This window comes from Homo sapiens, chromosome 7, assembly GCF_000001405.40.
Source record: "Homo sapiens chromosome 7, GRCh38.p14 Primary Assembly".
NCBI classification, from domain to species: domain Eukaryota; kingdom Metazoa; phylum Chordata; class Mammalia; order Primates; family Hominidae; genus Homo; species Homo sapiens.
Genome location: NC_000007.14, coordinates 90,888,897 through 90,903,239, shown reverse-complemented (window position 1 = coordinate 90,903,239; position 14,343 = coordinate 90,888,897). Strand labels below are relative to the sequence as shown.

Genomic DNA, 14,343 nt, shown 5'->3' with positions numbered 1-14,343 from the left:
TGGATAAACACCCATTAGTAGGACTGTTGGATCATATGATAGTTCAATTTATAGTTTTTTAAGAAACCTCCATAGGTTCTCCATAATAACTGCACTAATTTATATTCCCACAGTGTATGACTTCCCTTTTCTCCACATCTTCAGTAACATTTGTTATGTTTTGTCTTTTTGATCATAGCCATCCTAACTGGGGTAAGATGGAATTTCACTGTGGTTTTGATTTTTACTTCTCTGATAATTAGTCATGTTGAGCATGTTTTACTACCTATGCACCATTTGTATGTCTTCTTCCAAGACAGGTTTTTTCAGGTCCTTTGTCTACTTTTTAACGAGTTTGTTTCTTTTGCTGTTAAGTTGTTTGAATTCCTTTTATAATCTAAATATTAGTCCCTCGTCAGATGAAGAGTTTGCAAATATTTTCTTCCATTCAACAGCTTGTATCTTTGCTCCTGTTTCCTTTGCTTTGCAGAAGCCTATTAGTTTAATATAGTCCCATTTATCTATTATTTTTATTTTTGTTGCCTGTTTTAGTCATAGAATCTTTTCCTAGACCGAAGCCCTGAAGTGTTTCTCCCATGTTTTCTTGCATGAGTTCAATAGTTTTGGGCCTTATGTTCAAGCTTTTAATCCATCTGAAGTTGATTTTTATATACGGTGAAAAATAAGTCTTGTTTCATTCTTCTGCACATGGATTTCCAGTTTTTCCAGCACCAGTTATTGAAGAGAATGTTATTTCCCCAAAGTATGTCCTTGACACCTCTGTCAAATATCAGTTGACTATAGGTATGCAGATTAATTTGGGGGTTCTCTATTCTGAGCATTTTTCTGTTCAGACACATAGGTGTCTCTTTTTAATACCCATAACATGTTGTTTTCGTTACTATAGCTTTGTAGTGTACTTTGAAGTCACGTAGTATGAAGTATCCAGCTTTGTTCTTTTTGCTCAGTATTGTTTTGGCTATTTGGGTTCTTTTGTGGTTCCATATAAATTTTAGGATTGTTTATCTACTGCATGAAGAATGTTATTGGTATTTTGAGGAATTGTATTGAATCTGTAGATTGCTTTTGGTAGAATGGTATTTTAATAATACTAATTTGTCTAATCCATGATCATAGGATGTTTTTCCATTTGTATCTCTTCAATTTCTTTGATCACTGTTTTGCAGTTTTCTTATACAGATCTTTCATCTTCCTTGGTTAAACTGATTCCTACATAATTTTTGGTAACTATTATAAATTAAATTGTTTTATTTCTTTTTCAGCCAGCTCATTATTGGGGAAGAAATACTACAAATTTTTATATGTTGATTTTGTATCCTGCAACTTTACGGAATTAGTTTATCAGCTCTGTAACTTTTTTTGGTGGAGTCTTTAGATTTTTCTATACATAAGATTACTTGGTCTGCAAGGAGAGATGATCAGAGGACTTCTTTTCCAATTTGGATTTTTTCCATTTTTTTCTCTTGGCTGATTACTCTGGCTAAAATTCTCAGTATTATACTATGCAGATGTCCTGATTCTGGGGAGAATATATATGTGTGTGTGTGTGTATATATATATATATACATATAAAGCTTGCCAGGTGACTCTACTGCAGAATAAAGTGAAGACCTCTTAGTTTATTACTGAGGTTTCTTGTATCCACAAATATGCCAAGCACTGAGACTGTCCAGGACATTTCAGAAGATCCTCAACAAATCAAAGATTTCACTAGTTGTGAGGAAAGGAATCCCCATAGATGAATACATTTTGCTGCTTTTAAGGTATTTTAAAAAATAAGAAGAGGTAAATCACATCACATTTTTTTTAGAAACAAAAATGTAGTAAGTCATCTATCGGTGACCATGTTAAACAACTTCCAAGTAGGAAAAGTTCCTGCTGTATATAAATACCCAGGCTCACTGTAAGTGTCACATATAATTTCTGTGACATTATTTCTACACTGACTACACATTTCACTCATCATTAAGTTTCTCACCACGTCCTAGGAGGCACCAAGTCCTGCAGTGTTAAACCTTGTTTATCACCATGGTGCAACCTGGACTCGGAATGAGGAGCAAACAGTAAGTATTTGAAGTATGATGAATGACCATGTGATGAAAGAAAAGCACACAAAGCTTGAATAAGAGCTGGTGAGACAGTTTCTAGAGGTACAGCCCAGTTACTGAGAAACAGTAACCTTGAGACCCATTTCTCCATGACCATTAGGAGATAAGGGAAAATAAAATGTAATGGAAGAAGCAGAACGTATAGTAAAAATGGGACAAAATTCATCAATGTCAGTGGCCTGAGGACAGAGAACACAGCAATGCTTTGTGGAAAGAGGTTTTCTTTTTTTCATCAACAAAATTTTCCACCAACAGTTGCTGATAACTAATGACACATACATGATTGGTGAGAAACTAAACAGGGATAATAAAAGCCCAGTGATGTCATGACTGTGGGAAAGATTCAATCAGTTATTTAATCTCAATTGTATCACTGAATGTGAAAGTCAGGAAGTCAAAGTTAGCTCAGAGGATCTGCTCATTTCCACTGTGGCTGGTAGACTTCTGAGCTCCCCGGGGCCAGTGGTCTCACTAGCTGGGTGATCAACACATTCTCAGGGATAGAGTGGGAAACAAGAATGAAGATGTATTGTACTATTGATTTCAAAGCCAATAAACCCTGAGAACATGTGGATGTATAAATGAGAGAATTTGAGATTTTAATGTTAAAAAAATTATGTTCATGTTATAATACTAATATTTAGAGTTGGAATTGAACATAGACAAGATTAATAAAACACGTATTTTCATCCATTAAATTTTCTAACCTAATCTAACTACTAATAAACTATATGTTAATGGTTACACATTTTTAAGAAAAATGAACAGTCAAAAAACTTTAAGGAAAGGCAATCTAATAAAACACAAAAAGAAGACATATGAAAAAATCAACAGACTATAATTTCTATATTGATTCCATTATTTATTTAACAATGTTTTGACAGATTTCCTATAAGTTCCTACATTTTAAAATTATACAGTGTAACTGACCACTACAAAAGCCTCTATTAACTTGTCACATTTACACATATACATAGAAAGTTTCCCAGGTGATTCGACTATGGTATAAAGTGAAGACCTCTTAGTTTATCACTAATAGGGTTTCTTATAACAAATGGGAAGAAATTGAGATGAATAAGTTTACTTCAAATACATCTGTAATACTCAATTGGTTCTCAGGATTATGAAATGTAGTCATTTGAGTTACACAATGTAAGTACATAATTAAGCCATATCAGATATAACTTTGATCTCTTCTAATTCTATTGCATATACCAAGAAGCTTGAAATTTTGGAATAATTTCCCAAGATGATTGTGAGGTCAAATTTTAGGAAATCATAGTTCTTTTGATACTCGGTAGTAATATTTCTACTAAAAGAAAGGAAAAAGAGTAGCAGAAAGTAGAATATGCTTGTACATAGAAATAAAAAGACATGCACTGTGAACCCACCATAACATTGTTTTGGATCATAATGATGCTTTATGTTGAAACCAACTGGTACATCAGTATGGGTTCCAAGCTAGAACTGAGACTCCCCTCTACTGTGAAGTGTTAAAAAGTAGGATTCCAGTGGTTTTCACTCATTATTAGCAAATGTTTCTCCAGCAAGAAAATATAAGATGAGATCTAAATATTAATACCCCAGTAAAAATATTTAATGTTAAAACATGGTTTCCAACAACTCAACTGAAGCAATGACTGGTTCACCTCAATATCCCTTCTCTTTACACAAAAAATTTAAAAAATTTAAATATGTTATGGTAGAGATGCTAGACTTCAGTTCAAAAAATACACATCAAGAATGCTAACCTTTGGCTTAAAAAGATCTTTTCCTACCTTCACATTATCTGGATGCAGCCCCCCAGGGTGCTTGTCCATGTACTGACATAAATCAGTGTGCTAGAAAAGAAAAGGAAAAATGTATTAATAACCCTCTGGCTATAACATAATAAATCAATATTTTCCTACTTCAAACTCACCATTACCTTCTGAACAGAGCAAATAAAAGACAAGTGGGTGGATTTTTCAGTGTATGTAGTGGCATGCCTCCCCACCCCCTAATTTTAAACACAATTGAATCATTATTTTTCCCTCTCGGCTCTGTTTTATGTTAAATATTTCTATATATTAAAAAGAATACATGTCCATAATTTGTTAAGTGTCTCATTTCCTTTCCATTGAATATATCCTTATACTTTAACTTAGAAAACCACACATATTTAACCAATGCAATTATAATGTCAATTATCCCATATTTTCCAAGTGCAAATGCAAATAAAAAATATTTATTTTATATGAGATAAAAATACCACAAATATATTCTACTAGTAAAATTAATCACTGGACTTATCTTTATGTCCATATTCAGAAAAAATAATTTTCAGGTTTCTAGAACTCCTGAATATATTTGAGCAAATATGCTTCATAAATTAACAGAAACATCTTCAAAATTAAAAATTAAGATAAATATATCCAGATATGTTTAAACGAATATTCAACATCTCATGCTGTTATTCTTTTAAATATGCAAGCTCGATTTGTCCACAAGTAAATATCTTCTTCTTAATGCTTTTTCTGCTTATATCATAAACTATATATAATTTTTTAAAAGCATGTAGTTACTATTCACATTTTTATTATTTTATTGGAGTGTACTATAAGATTTATAAAACTGAAACATTTAATCATTCAGTAAAAGCCAATGAACATGAGCATTTGTGCCCCAATATCAGGCCTGAATTACTGAGGAAGTACAAGTTTTATAATACATTCAAGAACCTTGCTGTAGTCATTTATAACAACAGTTCAGGTTCTGTTATTAAGCTTTCATTGCATGCTAGGTTATAATTGCTGAGGATACAATGCAGAAATTAGCCTTCATCATTCATCATGTAATTTTTGAGCCCATATGTTCCAGGCACAACACTAGTCACTAAGAACACAGGAGTAAATGAAACAGATGCAAATGGAAAAAAACCAGACATGCCACTGATTACAGTAAAGTCTGCTGTGTAGTATTTTAAGAATAGTGCTGGATGATGTTCAAGGGCACAGCAGGGGAAACCCAATGAGGTCTAGAGATTTCAGAAAGGTCTCTGGAAGAAGTTACTTCTAAGTAAGACATGAGTAGAGAATGAAAGAAGTTAGCCAACTGAAGGGCAAAGGCAAAGAAAATGGGTCAGAGAAAATGCTCTTAGATATGTTCTGAGACAAAATTGCCTTTATCTTGGGCAACCCAAGCTTTGATTTAGCTTCTAAATCAAAGTGAAACTCCATGAGGGTAGAAACTATGATTAATTTGGAAATTATTCTCTCTCTGGTCCAGGCAAAATGTCAGACAAAGAGAAAAAGGAACTAAGTACAGATGGGAATACTTTTATGTATAGGATAGCACACTAAAAACAAACCTAAAATATGATTAAAATAGGTTCAATGGAGTTTTTCCTGAGTAACTATATAAAAGTTTTATTTCATGCATTTAGTGAAATGAGGAATGACTCTGGACCCCAAACTGCCATTTTGTAACTTCATATTATTAACTTCCCCATCCTTAAATAAGGATAACACCATCCTCAGAGAACGACAAATAAAGAACGAGAGAACATTTGTTTTTGAAGCCAGTATATGATAAGTACTTTTTACTTATAATATAATAGATAAAAATAAGGTATTCTTTTAAAATAATGCTCATTATACTATAAGATCCAGGAGGGCAAGAAGTGTATCTAATCTGTTCAATGCTTCACACACAAGAAACAAAATGGTAAAAGAAAAGTACATCCAACCATATCAATAATCACATGTCCATGATGTGTTGAAACGCTTATTAAAAATGTAAAATCTCAGTTTTTAAAACAAAATCAAATTCATACTGCTTCCCAAACACAAACTAAGAACAATAAATACCAAAAATCCAGAAAGTCTGAAAATAAATGTTTATTTATACTTTTGATATTTTGTTATTTATATTGCAAATATCAATAAAAAGGAATCAGATATATCAATGTAAAATCACGTTTAACATAATTCAAGAAACATGTATTCAACATTTGCACACCTAACAATAGGATACATTATTAAAAGCAAAAATTGACAAACATCAAAGAAGAAACGGAAAATTTCACAAAATCTTGAAGGGTTTTGCTTACTCCTTTCAAAAATTAACAAATGGAATTGGCCAAAAAAGTAAAGCTATAAAGGATATAACACAATTAAATAGCATGCCCAATAAACTCATGCTACACATGCTTTTTAAACACAAATGGCCTACTCACAAAAACTGACAATGTATGAGACAAAGAGAAAATCTCAAAAATTTCCAGAAAGCTGAAATCATATTACATCCTTTCCTCAAAACTGAATAAAATTAACATCAGAGTATATTATATTTCATCAACTCTAAGACATACAATTCTTTTCATTTTTGATATTGGAACAACAGCATTCATTTATGATTACCCAGGCAATGAATGCAATATAGTTGTTATTGCCTGTGTCTCAGCAAACTTTTTATTTTGCTCAATTTGCAGAGTTTACTCAATGGCATGAGTCACCAACAAACAACTTAAGGACCATCTGAAGAAGAAACAGTGAAGGGTGAGCCCTAATTGTTACCTAGAAACCATTTATTGAAATTTTCAGGTAAGGTTTTTTTTTAATGCCAGAATTAAAACTTCTCTAGCTCTTTCAATAAGCATAAAATAAAAATTCGGAATAAGAAGGCATTCAATCATAGTTTAATTCAGTGCATTTTTTCTTTTTTAGTAGTATATCAATAAGGTTTCTTCCAATCAATGGTGTTTTAAGTTCAATGGCAGCAGGAGGAAAATAAGGAAGAAAGAAAATCAGTTGAAGAGAGAGAATGAGAAAGGGAGGAATGAATAGAAAAATCTATTTTCCTAAAAATGTACAAAAAGTTAAAAAAGTCTAAAAATACTTAAATCAGTAAAAAATGAATGATAATAAATATACTACATTTCAAAGCAATTAAATTTGGTCAGAGCATCAACAAGAAAATTTAGACCTTTAAATGTATTTATTTTAACATAAAAATGACTAAAAATGAATAAAACAACCAATAAAGTAAAGCTAGAGAAAACAAAAGAGACAAGAAAAAAAAGAGAGAGAAGGGATCAATGCAGTTAATAGCAGACATTAAATAGAAAAACTAGAAAACAATAAGTTTGAACAATTAAACAAAAACCCACTTCTATGAAAAGCCTAATAAAACAAACCAACCTTTGGCAAGTCTGATTTTTTTTATTAAGTGAGGAGTTTGCCAAGACATAATCAACATTAAGAATGAGAAAAACAAGGGTGGGCATGGTGGCTTATGTCTGTAATCCCAGCACTTTGGGAGGCTGAGGCAGGCGGATCACTTGAGGTCAGAAGTTCAAGACCAGCCTGAGCAATATGGCAAAACCCCATCTCTACTAAAAATCTCAAAAAAAAAAAAAAAAAAATTAGCCAAGTGCAATGGCAAGTGCATGCAATCCCAGCTACTCGGGAAGCTGAGGCAGGAGAATTGCTTGAACACGAGAGACGGAGGTTGCAGTGAGTCAAGATCAAGCCACTACACTCCAGCCTGGGAGACAGAGCAAGACTCTGTCAGGAAAGGAGGGGAGGGGAGGGGAGGAGAGGGGAGGGGAAGGGAGGGGAAGGGAGGGGAAGGGAGGGGAAGGGAGGAGAGGAGAGGAGAGGAGAGGAGAGGTGAGGAGAGGAGAGGGGAGGGGAGGGGAGGGGAGGGGAGGAGAGGAGAGGAGAGGAGAGGAGAGGAGAGGAGAGGAGAGGAGAGGAGAGGAGAGGAGAGGAGAGGGGAGGGGAGGAGAGGTGAGGAGAGGAGAGGAGAGGAGAGGAGAGGAAAGGAGAGGAAAGAAGAGGAAAGAATGGGAAAAGTGACAACTAAAATTGTGAAGATTTTAAAATACAGCACTGTACATCTTTAAACCAGTACATTTGATATCTAGGAAAAAAATGTTTTTCTAAATAAAACATAAGTTACAAAATTTGTAAGACATAGGAAGGGCTATAACTAAAAAGGTACTGAATTCAGACTGTTTTAATAAAAAATGCTCCGAATCTTCAAATAACATATACAAGTTATTCCAGAGTACAGAAAAAGATAAGAATGCTTCCTACTTCTTCTTTAAAACACATTGTCAAACTAGGCAAGCACAAGAAAGGGATGGAGGGAACTAAAACAATCTCTCTATGATCACAGTCACAGATGTATATATTCTAAAAATAATAACAGTAGGTGCTAAAATTCAATATGGCATTAAAAAACTAACACATCAAGACCAAACAAGGCTAATCTTAGAAATGAGAAATAGTTCAATATAAAAACATATGTTAATGTGATCCTCTAAAGTTAACAAATTAAAGAAGTGGAATAGTGGTGGGTACAAAAGAACATTTATGGTGTTATATATATGGCATGTATTTATAGAATGCCAACTTTGCATAAATAAGATGAACTCTACACTCACACAGCTAGCATTCTGTGAATATTATATGCTTGTGAATTATCTTAAACTTTTCTAAGAATAAAGTATTCAAGCTTCTTGTTTAAAATGAAACAACAAAACTATGAGGAAGGAAATACATTAGGACTGGAGAAAAAAATTCCTGATCCTCCAAATCCAATGACATTAGCATCAAGAATTGCAGGAAAAAGATCATCTCTAGAAATGAGATCTGGGAAAACTTAAAAGACTTTCCTAAACCTTTAAAATTTTAGGTTATTTTTTAGATGTAGGGCACGAAAACGTACTATGTGTATGCGCACACATCATCTATACACACATGGCTTCCTCAGCTGTGTAACCTTGAGCAGGTGACATAACCTCTGTAAATCAGTATTACATAACTTTGAGCAGGTGACATAATCTCTGTAAATCAGCATTACATAACTTTGAGCAGGTCACATAACCTCTGTAATGAAGACAATCCTAGTTCAATTTTCATATTAACCTCACATGGTTATTGTGAAAATTAACTGGTAAACATCCATAGCAGTTTCAGAACATTGTCCAGCACATTGTGGATACTATAGGTGATGATGATTCATGATGATGATGATGACGGTGATTTTCTGTAGCGTGTTTAGAGGTAGGGAATTAGGGAAGAATTGTTGGAAGAGATTGAAATAAAAACAGGAATGATACATATAGTCAAAAGTTCCCTAGGAACTTCTAGGAGTTGCATTTAATCTTTACATATGTGTTCTTCCTATGTGCATGCCCAGACATTCCCATTCCCATGCCACCACTCTCTATATATAATCACTGAAACTACATCCAGCATTATATCACTAACTTCAGAGTGCTCTGAGTGATTAGAGGCAAGAATATGGAGAATCTCATATGGAAGAGGGAACAAGAGGTACTACAATGTCACATTTTCCACCTTAACATTGATGTTTCACAAATTTCTATTTTACCTAAACTAAAAACAGTTTGTTTTCCCTCTCTCTTTTTAAATACATAGTATTGTGCCTAGGACTGCATTACATGTGCCTGAATTACAAATTTCATTATATTATACATATCTTTTTTCTTTATACATTCTTTCCTTAGTTTTACTCATTGGATTATGTGACCCTTATGATTTGCACTTATCCAGAAATACAGAACTACACTTAAGAATGATGCCAAAAGGCACTGCTGGTTATAAAGTTCTGAACAGAACATCACTATGGCATATGACCAACAGCTCACTCTCCTGTGATGACATACTAATAAGCTCAGATGCATCTGGCTTGATCTCTGGCTATTTCTTATCCTAATACCAAGAGGACCACCTATAGACTAGACCCCTGGTAACTACGCATATCCAAAAGATTGCTTCCCTCCAATCCCTACCATGGCTATGGGCTAACATCTCCTCTTTCCTTCACTAAATTATGCCTCACCTCTTCTTCCCACACTTTCCCCTTTACTCCATCACCATTGCTATGCCTTAATGCTACCAGATATACTTGTGTCTGACAAGGTTACACCTGAATGCCTTCCATGAAGTCGGTGGTTTTAAAGGAAGCTATCAAGTGTGGCTTGACTTAGAAACCAAGCAGCAGACAGAGTGAGCGCAGAAAGAGGCTCTGAAGACTCAAGCCCCACACTAGCATATATTCCTTTCAAAATCAGTATCCTCTGGGAGGCCGAGGCAGGCAGATCACGAGGTCAGGAGATAGAGATCATCCTGGCTAACACAGTGAAAACCTATCTCTATTAAAAATATAAAAAATCAGCCGGGTGTGGTGGTGCACGCCTGTAGTCCCAGCTAATTGGGAGGCAGAGGCAGGAGAACTGCTTGAACCCAGCAGTCAGAGGTTGCAGTGAGCCAAGATCGTGCCACTGCACCCCAGCCTGGGTGACAGAGCGAGAACAAAACAAAAACAAAAATAAAAACAAAAAACCCAGTATCCTCTTTTCCTGCTGTTGACTAACCCATCAGGTAGCATTTATCTGGTTATTTACATAGGTGCAGGAGTATCTCCAGGGGAAGGAATCCGAGGAGGGTATCTGAAATCATAACCCTCTTGAGGTGAAATGTTTTCTGTAAAAGAGTTTATGAGGTTTAGACTGTGGGTTTCCCATATTGATTTGATTTCTCTGTGGCTGGATCAATATAAAAAGCAAGAGAAAAATAACCCCTTGTTAAAAGACAGAACATGGAAAGACCACAGAAAATTGAAAAGACATTTTACTAATAGGCATTTTCACAGTTGAGTCTCAGTTAACTGCAGTCATATGCAGATCTGAGAACTATACTGACTCATCTTAGTCATGTGGTGCAACAACAGCCATGAGGCTCAAAATGAAAGACACAGAAGAAAACTAGAAAGATTAATTACGTATATAATGTCCATTTTAAAACAGGCGTGAGTGGAGAACTGCCCCTTTTAAAAGAGGAGGACAGAGAGGCCAGATCAAAGAAAAGGTAAAAAACAAGCTAGAAAACAACACTCACCTTTGCATATTTTCCTCTCTCCATCCCTTACCCTGTTTTGAATCTGACCTTGGGTCAAGGGAAAGAAGCAATATCCCTCCATCTAAAGCCACTGGTAAGAAAGCTATCTGAAACTCAGACCACCTCTTGGACATGAAATTTTGCCATTTCCAGGGCAGAAACAAGTATAGGAGAACTGTTAATAGGCTTCCTCTTTCAGTAAGTGCTTATGTTTCTCTTTACCTAACATTATTCATGAAGTGAGGTTTTCCAATTGTTGACTCTTCAAATGATCAGACCTCCTATTCATGAGATAGAAAGTTCCTCAGAGAAATTCTGCTTTTGCATTAGCATTGGCTTTCAAACTAGACTTTTCCCTTCAAGCAAAAATCCAAATAAAGCCCCTTCCTGAACACATGTATTTGTTTCCATTCTCCTACAATGTCAAGCCTGGTGTACACAATATTTGTAAGCTAATTTCGATGTTCTTCAGGAGCACTGCCAAAATGTGACATTGAAAATAGCATAGCCCTAGTTTTTGCATCTAGGCTAAAAATAAGGAAGCCATTCCATGGAGATGACCAACAGAAATCCTCTCTTGAAAGTTAGATTAAACACAGACTCTATATCCTTAACTTCTGTTTCATTTAATTTTCTATTTGACAGTGAAAGGACAGTCAATATATTCAAGCTTTGTATAGATTTTATAACATACACACAAATGAAAATAGTTTCACTGGCATAAGGATACAGAAAGACTACAAAAAATAATTCTGAATTTAATGTTAAATAGGTAGGCATAGTTTATGTGTAAACACCAAATTTGTTATATTTTGTTTTGAAATTGATGAAAACTTTAAGTGAACACATTGTTTTAAAAATGGGATATGTTACAAACTAGTCAATACGGTGCAAAAGGGAAGCATAAAAATTCCCTGATTGATCTCTGCTTGTTTAAGAAGCTCCCTTGGGTATACATGCCATCTGATTATAGACACTCCAACCTCTTCCAGGTGAATGAACCCATTATAAAAACTCTAAGCCACCCTTTCAATGGTAAGAGGAAATATCAGAAGTCCACTATTTTCTGAAGAAAAAGGGCAATAATTTCTATTTTTCTGTGGTACCCCATGTGGTCCCAAATTTTATGGCAATGACAGTAATTATTAGTGTGGCCAAGGAAGCAAGGGTGGATGCCTTGATGCTTATTTTCCCACTGGCCAATGTCATCTTCATTACCAGTGTCCCATGTCTGAGACACAGTGCACACACCACACACATTTCACTACAACCACACTTAAGGGTGGTTCTGAACTTTGAAATAACTCACTATCCTTTCATAATAGTTTTTAATCTACTTCACCTGCACCTTATTACAGTCATGTAATTTATTGGGAAACTGTTACTGCTAGAGGCAACTGAAGAAAACTTACAGAAGCTGAACCCTCCTTTCTTCTACAGCAATCAATGCCATTTTCCTCTAGGTATAACCTCTGTTTTATTCAGCCTACATTGCTATAAGAATTAAAACATGAAATTACTGAGCAGTTAGGTTCAAACTGCTCTTATATGCAGTCCACAAGATTAAATTGACTTTGAAATTGCACTTTTCCCTGTTATGCTTTACAGTACTTATCTACTTCACTTCCAAATTATAACTAATAAAATTATAATGTGAGTTCCAATACATGAGAATCATTCATTAATGAGAAAAAAGGGAAAGGAAAGTTTAACCAACTTATCCTTTAAAACGAAATCACAGGCATTCAGGGTGTTTAACAGAGGAAGTCTGTACCCACTGTACATTATATATCAAAGGGGCTCTATCTGTCTACCTACCTACCTACCTATCTACCTACCTATCTATTGAGACAGGGTCTCTCTCTGTCACCCAGGCTGGAGTGTAGTGGTGTGATCATAGCTCACCATAACTTCAAAGTCCTAGACTCAAGGGATCCTCCCTCTTTAGCCTCCCAAGTAGCTAGGACTACAGGCATGTGCCACTACATCTGACTAATTTTCTTAATTTTTACAGAAACGGACTCTCACTATGTTGTCCGGGCTAGTCTCGAACTCTTGGTCTTAGGTGATCCTTCCACCCTGGCCTCCCAAAGCACTAGGATGACAGGCTTGGGCCATCATGCCTGGCCTAGAGGAGTCCGTTTTCAAAACAGTGAATAACAAACAAAACATTGCAAGCATTTTATCAAATGTTATTCAGGTTTAATGCTATATTAAAATTCCATATCATCTTTAACAACAAAAACAAGCCATTCATGAACCAGTAAAAAAGTGCTGTCTCTCTACTCTGAAGACAAGATTATAATTACAACTAGATTATTATGCCTCAAGTTGCATCATAAGACATGGTATGATGATAGAGACAATATGGTCTGCAAACTATTTCATCATCAAACACTCAGATATGTTATTCTCAAGTATTCCACTGTTCCTGTATAGACTTATTTGACACATTACAATGCCTGTTTATGTTTTATTTTTACCTGGTTTTAAGCCATTTAGGAAAGATTTAAAATTCTACCAGTATACCACATACATATTCCCTAAAGAGGGTAAAAGTAGTTATCGTACACAGTATTTTATACTACATAAAAATCCTCTCATAGCAATCACAGTGCAATAGTTTATGCCTAATTAAATTAGCCATTTCTTTTTAGTCATAACATGTATTCTCTTTCTTCTTTTTGGTCATAATAAACCTGTACGTGTCTTACATGTCCCATAATTCTGTCTAAATGATTTCAGCTGTCATTTCTGAATCCAAAATGTACGGGCAGCCTGGGGCTGGTGACTGGAACAGGAAGCATTTCCAAATGCATTCCCATCATGTAAACCAGCAACCTGAAAAATCCCTTCCATTAAAACAAAAAACTTACTATTTGGCTTCTGGCAATGACATCATGGATAGACAAATTATATAGCTCTGTCCAGGCAGTAAGACTATTGCAAACTATTCTTCTCTGATAAAAGGAATGCAGGTATTCATGCTTTAATAGTTCAAGTGTCTGAAGTGGTTTCAATCTTGTAGGAGTTAATTCTTAAAACCAAACATATTTCTATATCCATATATATATAAATACCACATAAAACTTATTAAGTATAAATGATTTTCTTTTTGTAAACTAAATAAACTCAGTGTATAGTTTTGGGATGTTTCAAAAAATTAAGAAAAATTTGCTAGAAGTAAACCATTCTGTAGAACCATATGCTATTCCAGCATTAGAAGAATGTGTAAAATGTGCTCTCTTCAAATAGTGGAGGAAAGGGTTAAGCAGTATGATTTATATGCCCTCTGGCAAACCATTCACAAGCCTAAATCATAT

At 34.8% G+C, this 14,343-nt stretch overlaps 1 protein-coding gene across 4 annotated transcripts in view; it reads right to left on the bottom strand.

Moving 5' to 3' along the window:
• CDK14 (cyclin dependent kinase 14) overlaps window positions 1–14,343 on the bottom strand; it is a 614,270-nt gene that overhangs the window by 307,351 nt on the left and 292,576 nt on the right. For all 4 annotated transcript variants that reach the window (NM_001287135.2, NM_012395.3, NM_001287136.1 and 1 more), the window contains one exon: window positions 3,887–3,949. In NM_001287135.2, coding sequence (NP_001274064.1) covers window positions 3,887–3,949 — 63 coding nt within the window. The remainder of the gene's footprint in view (window positions 1–3,886; window positions 3,950–14,343) is intronic.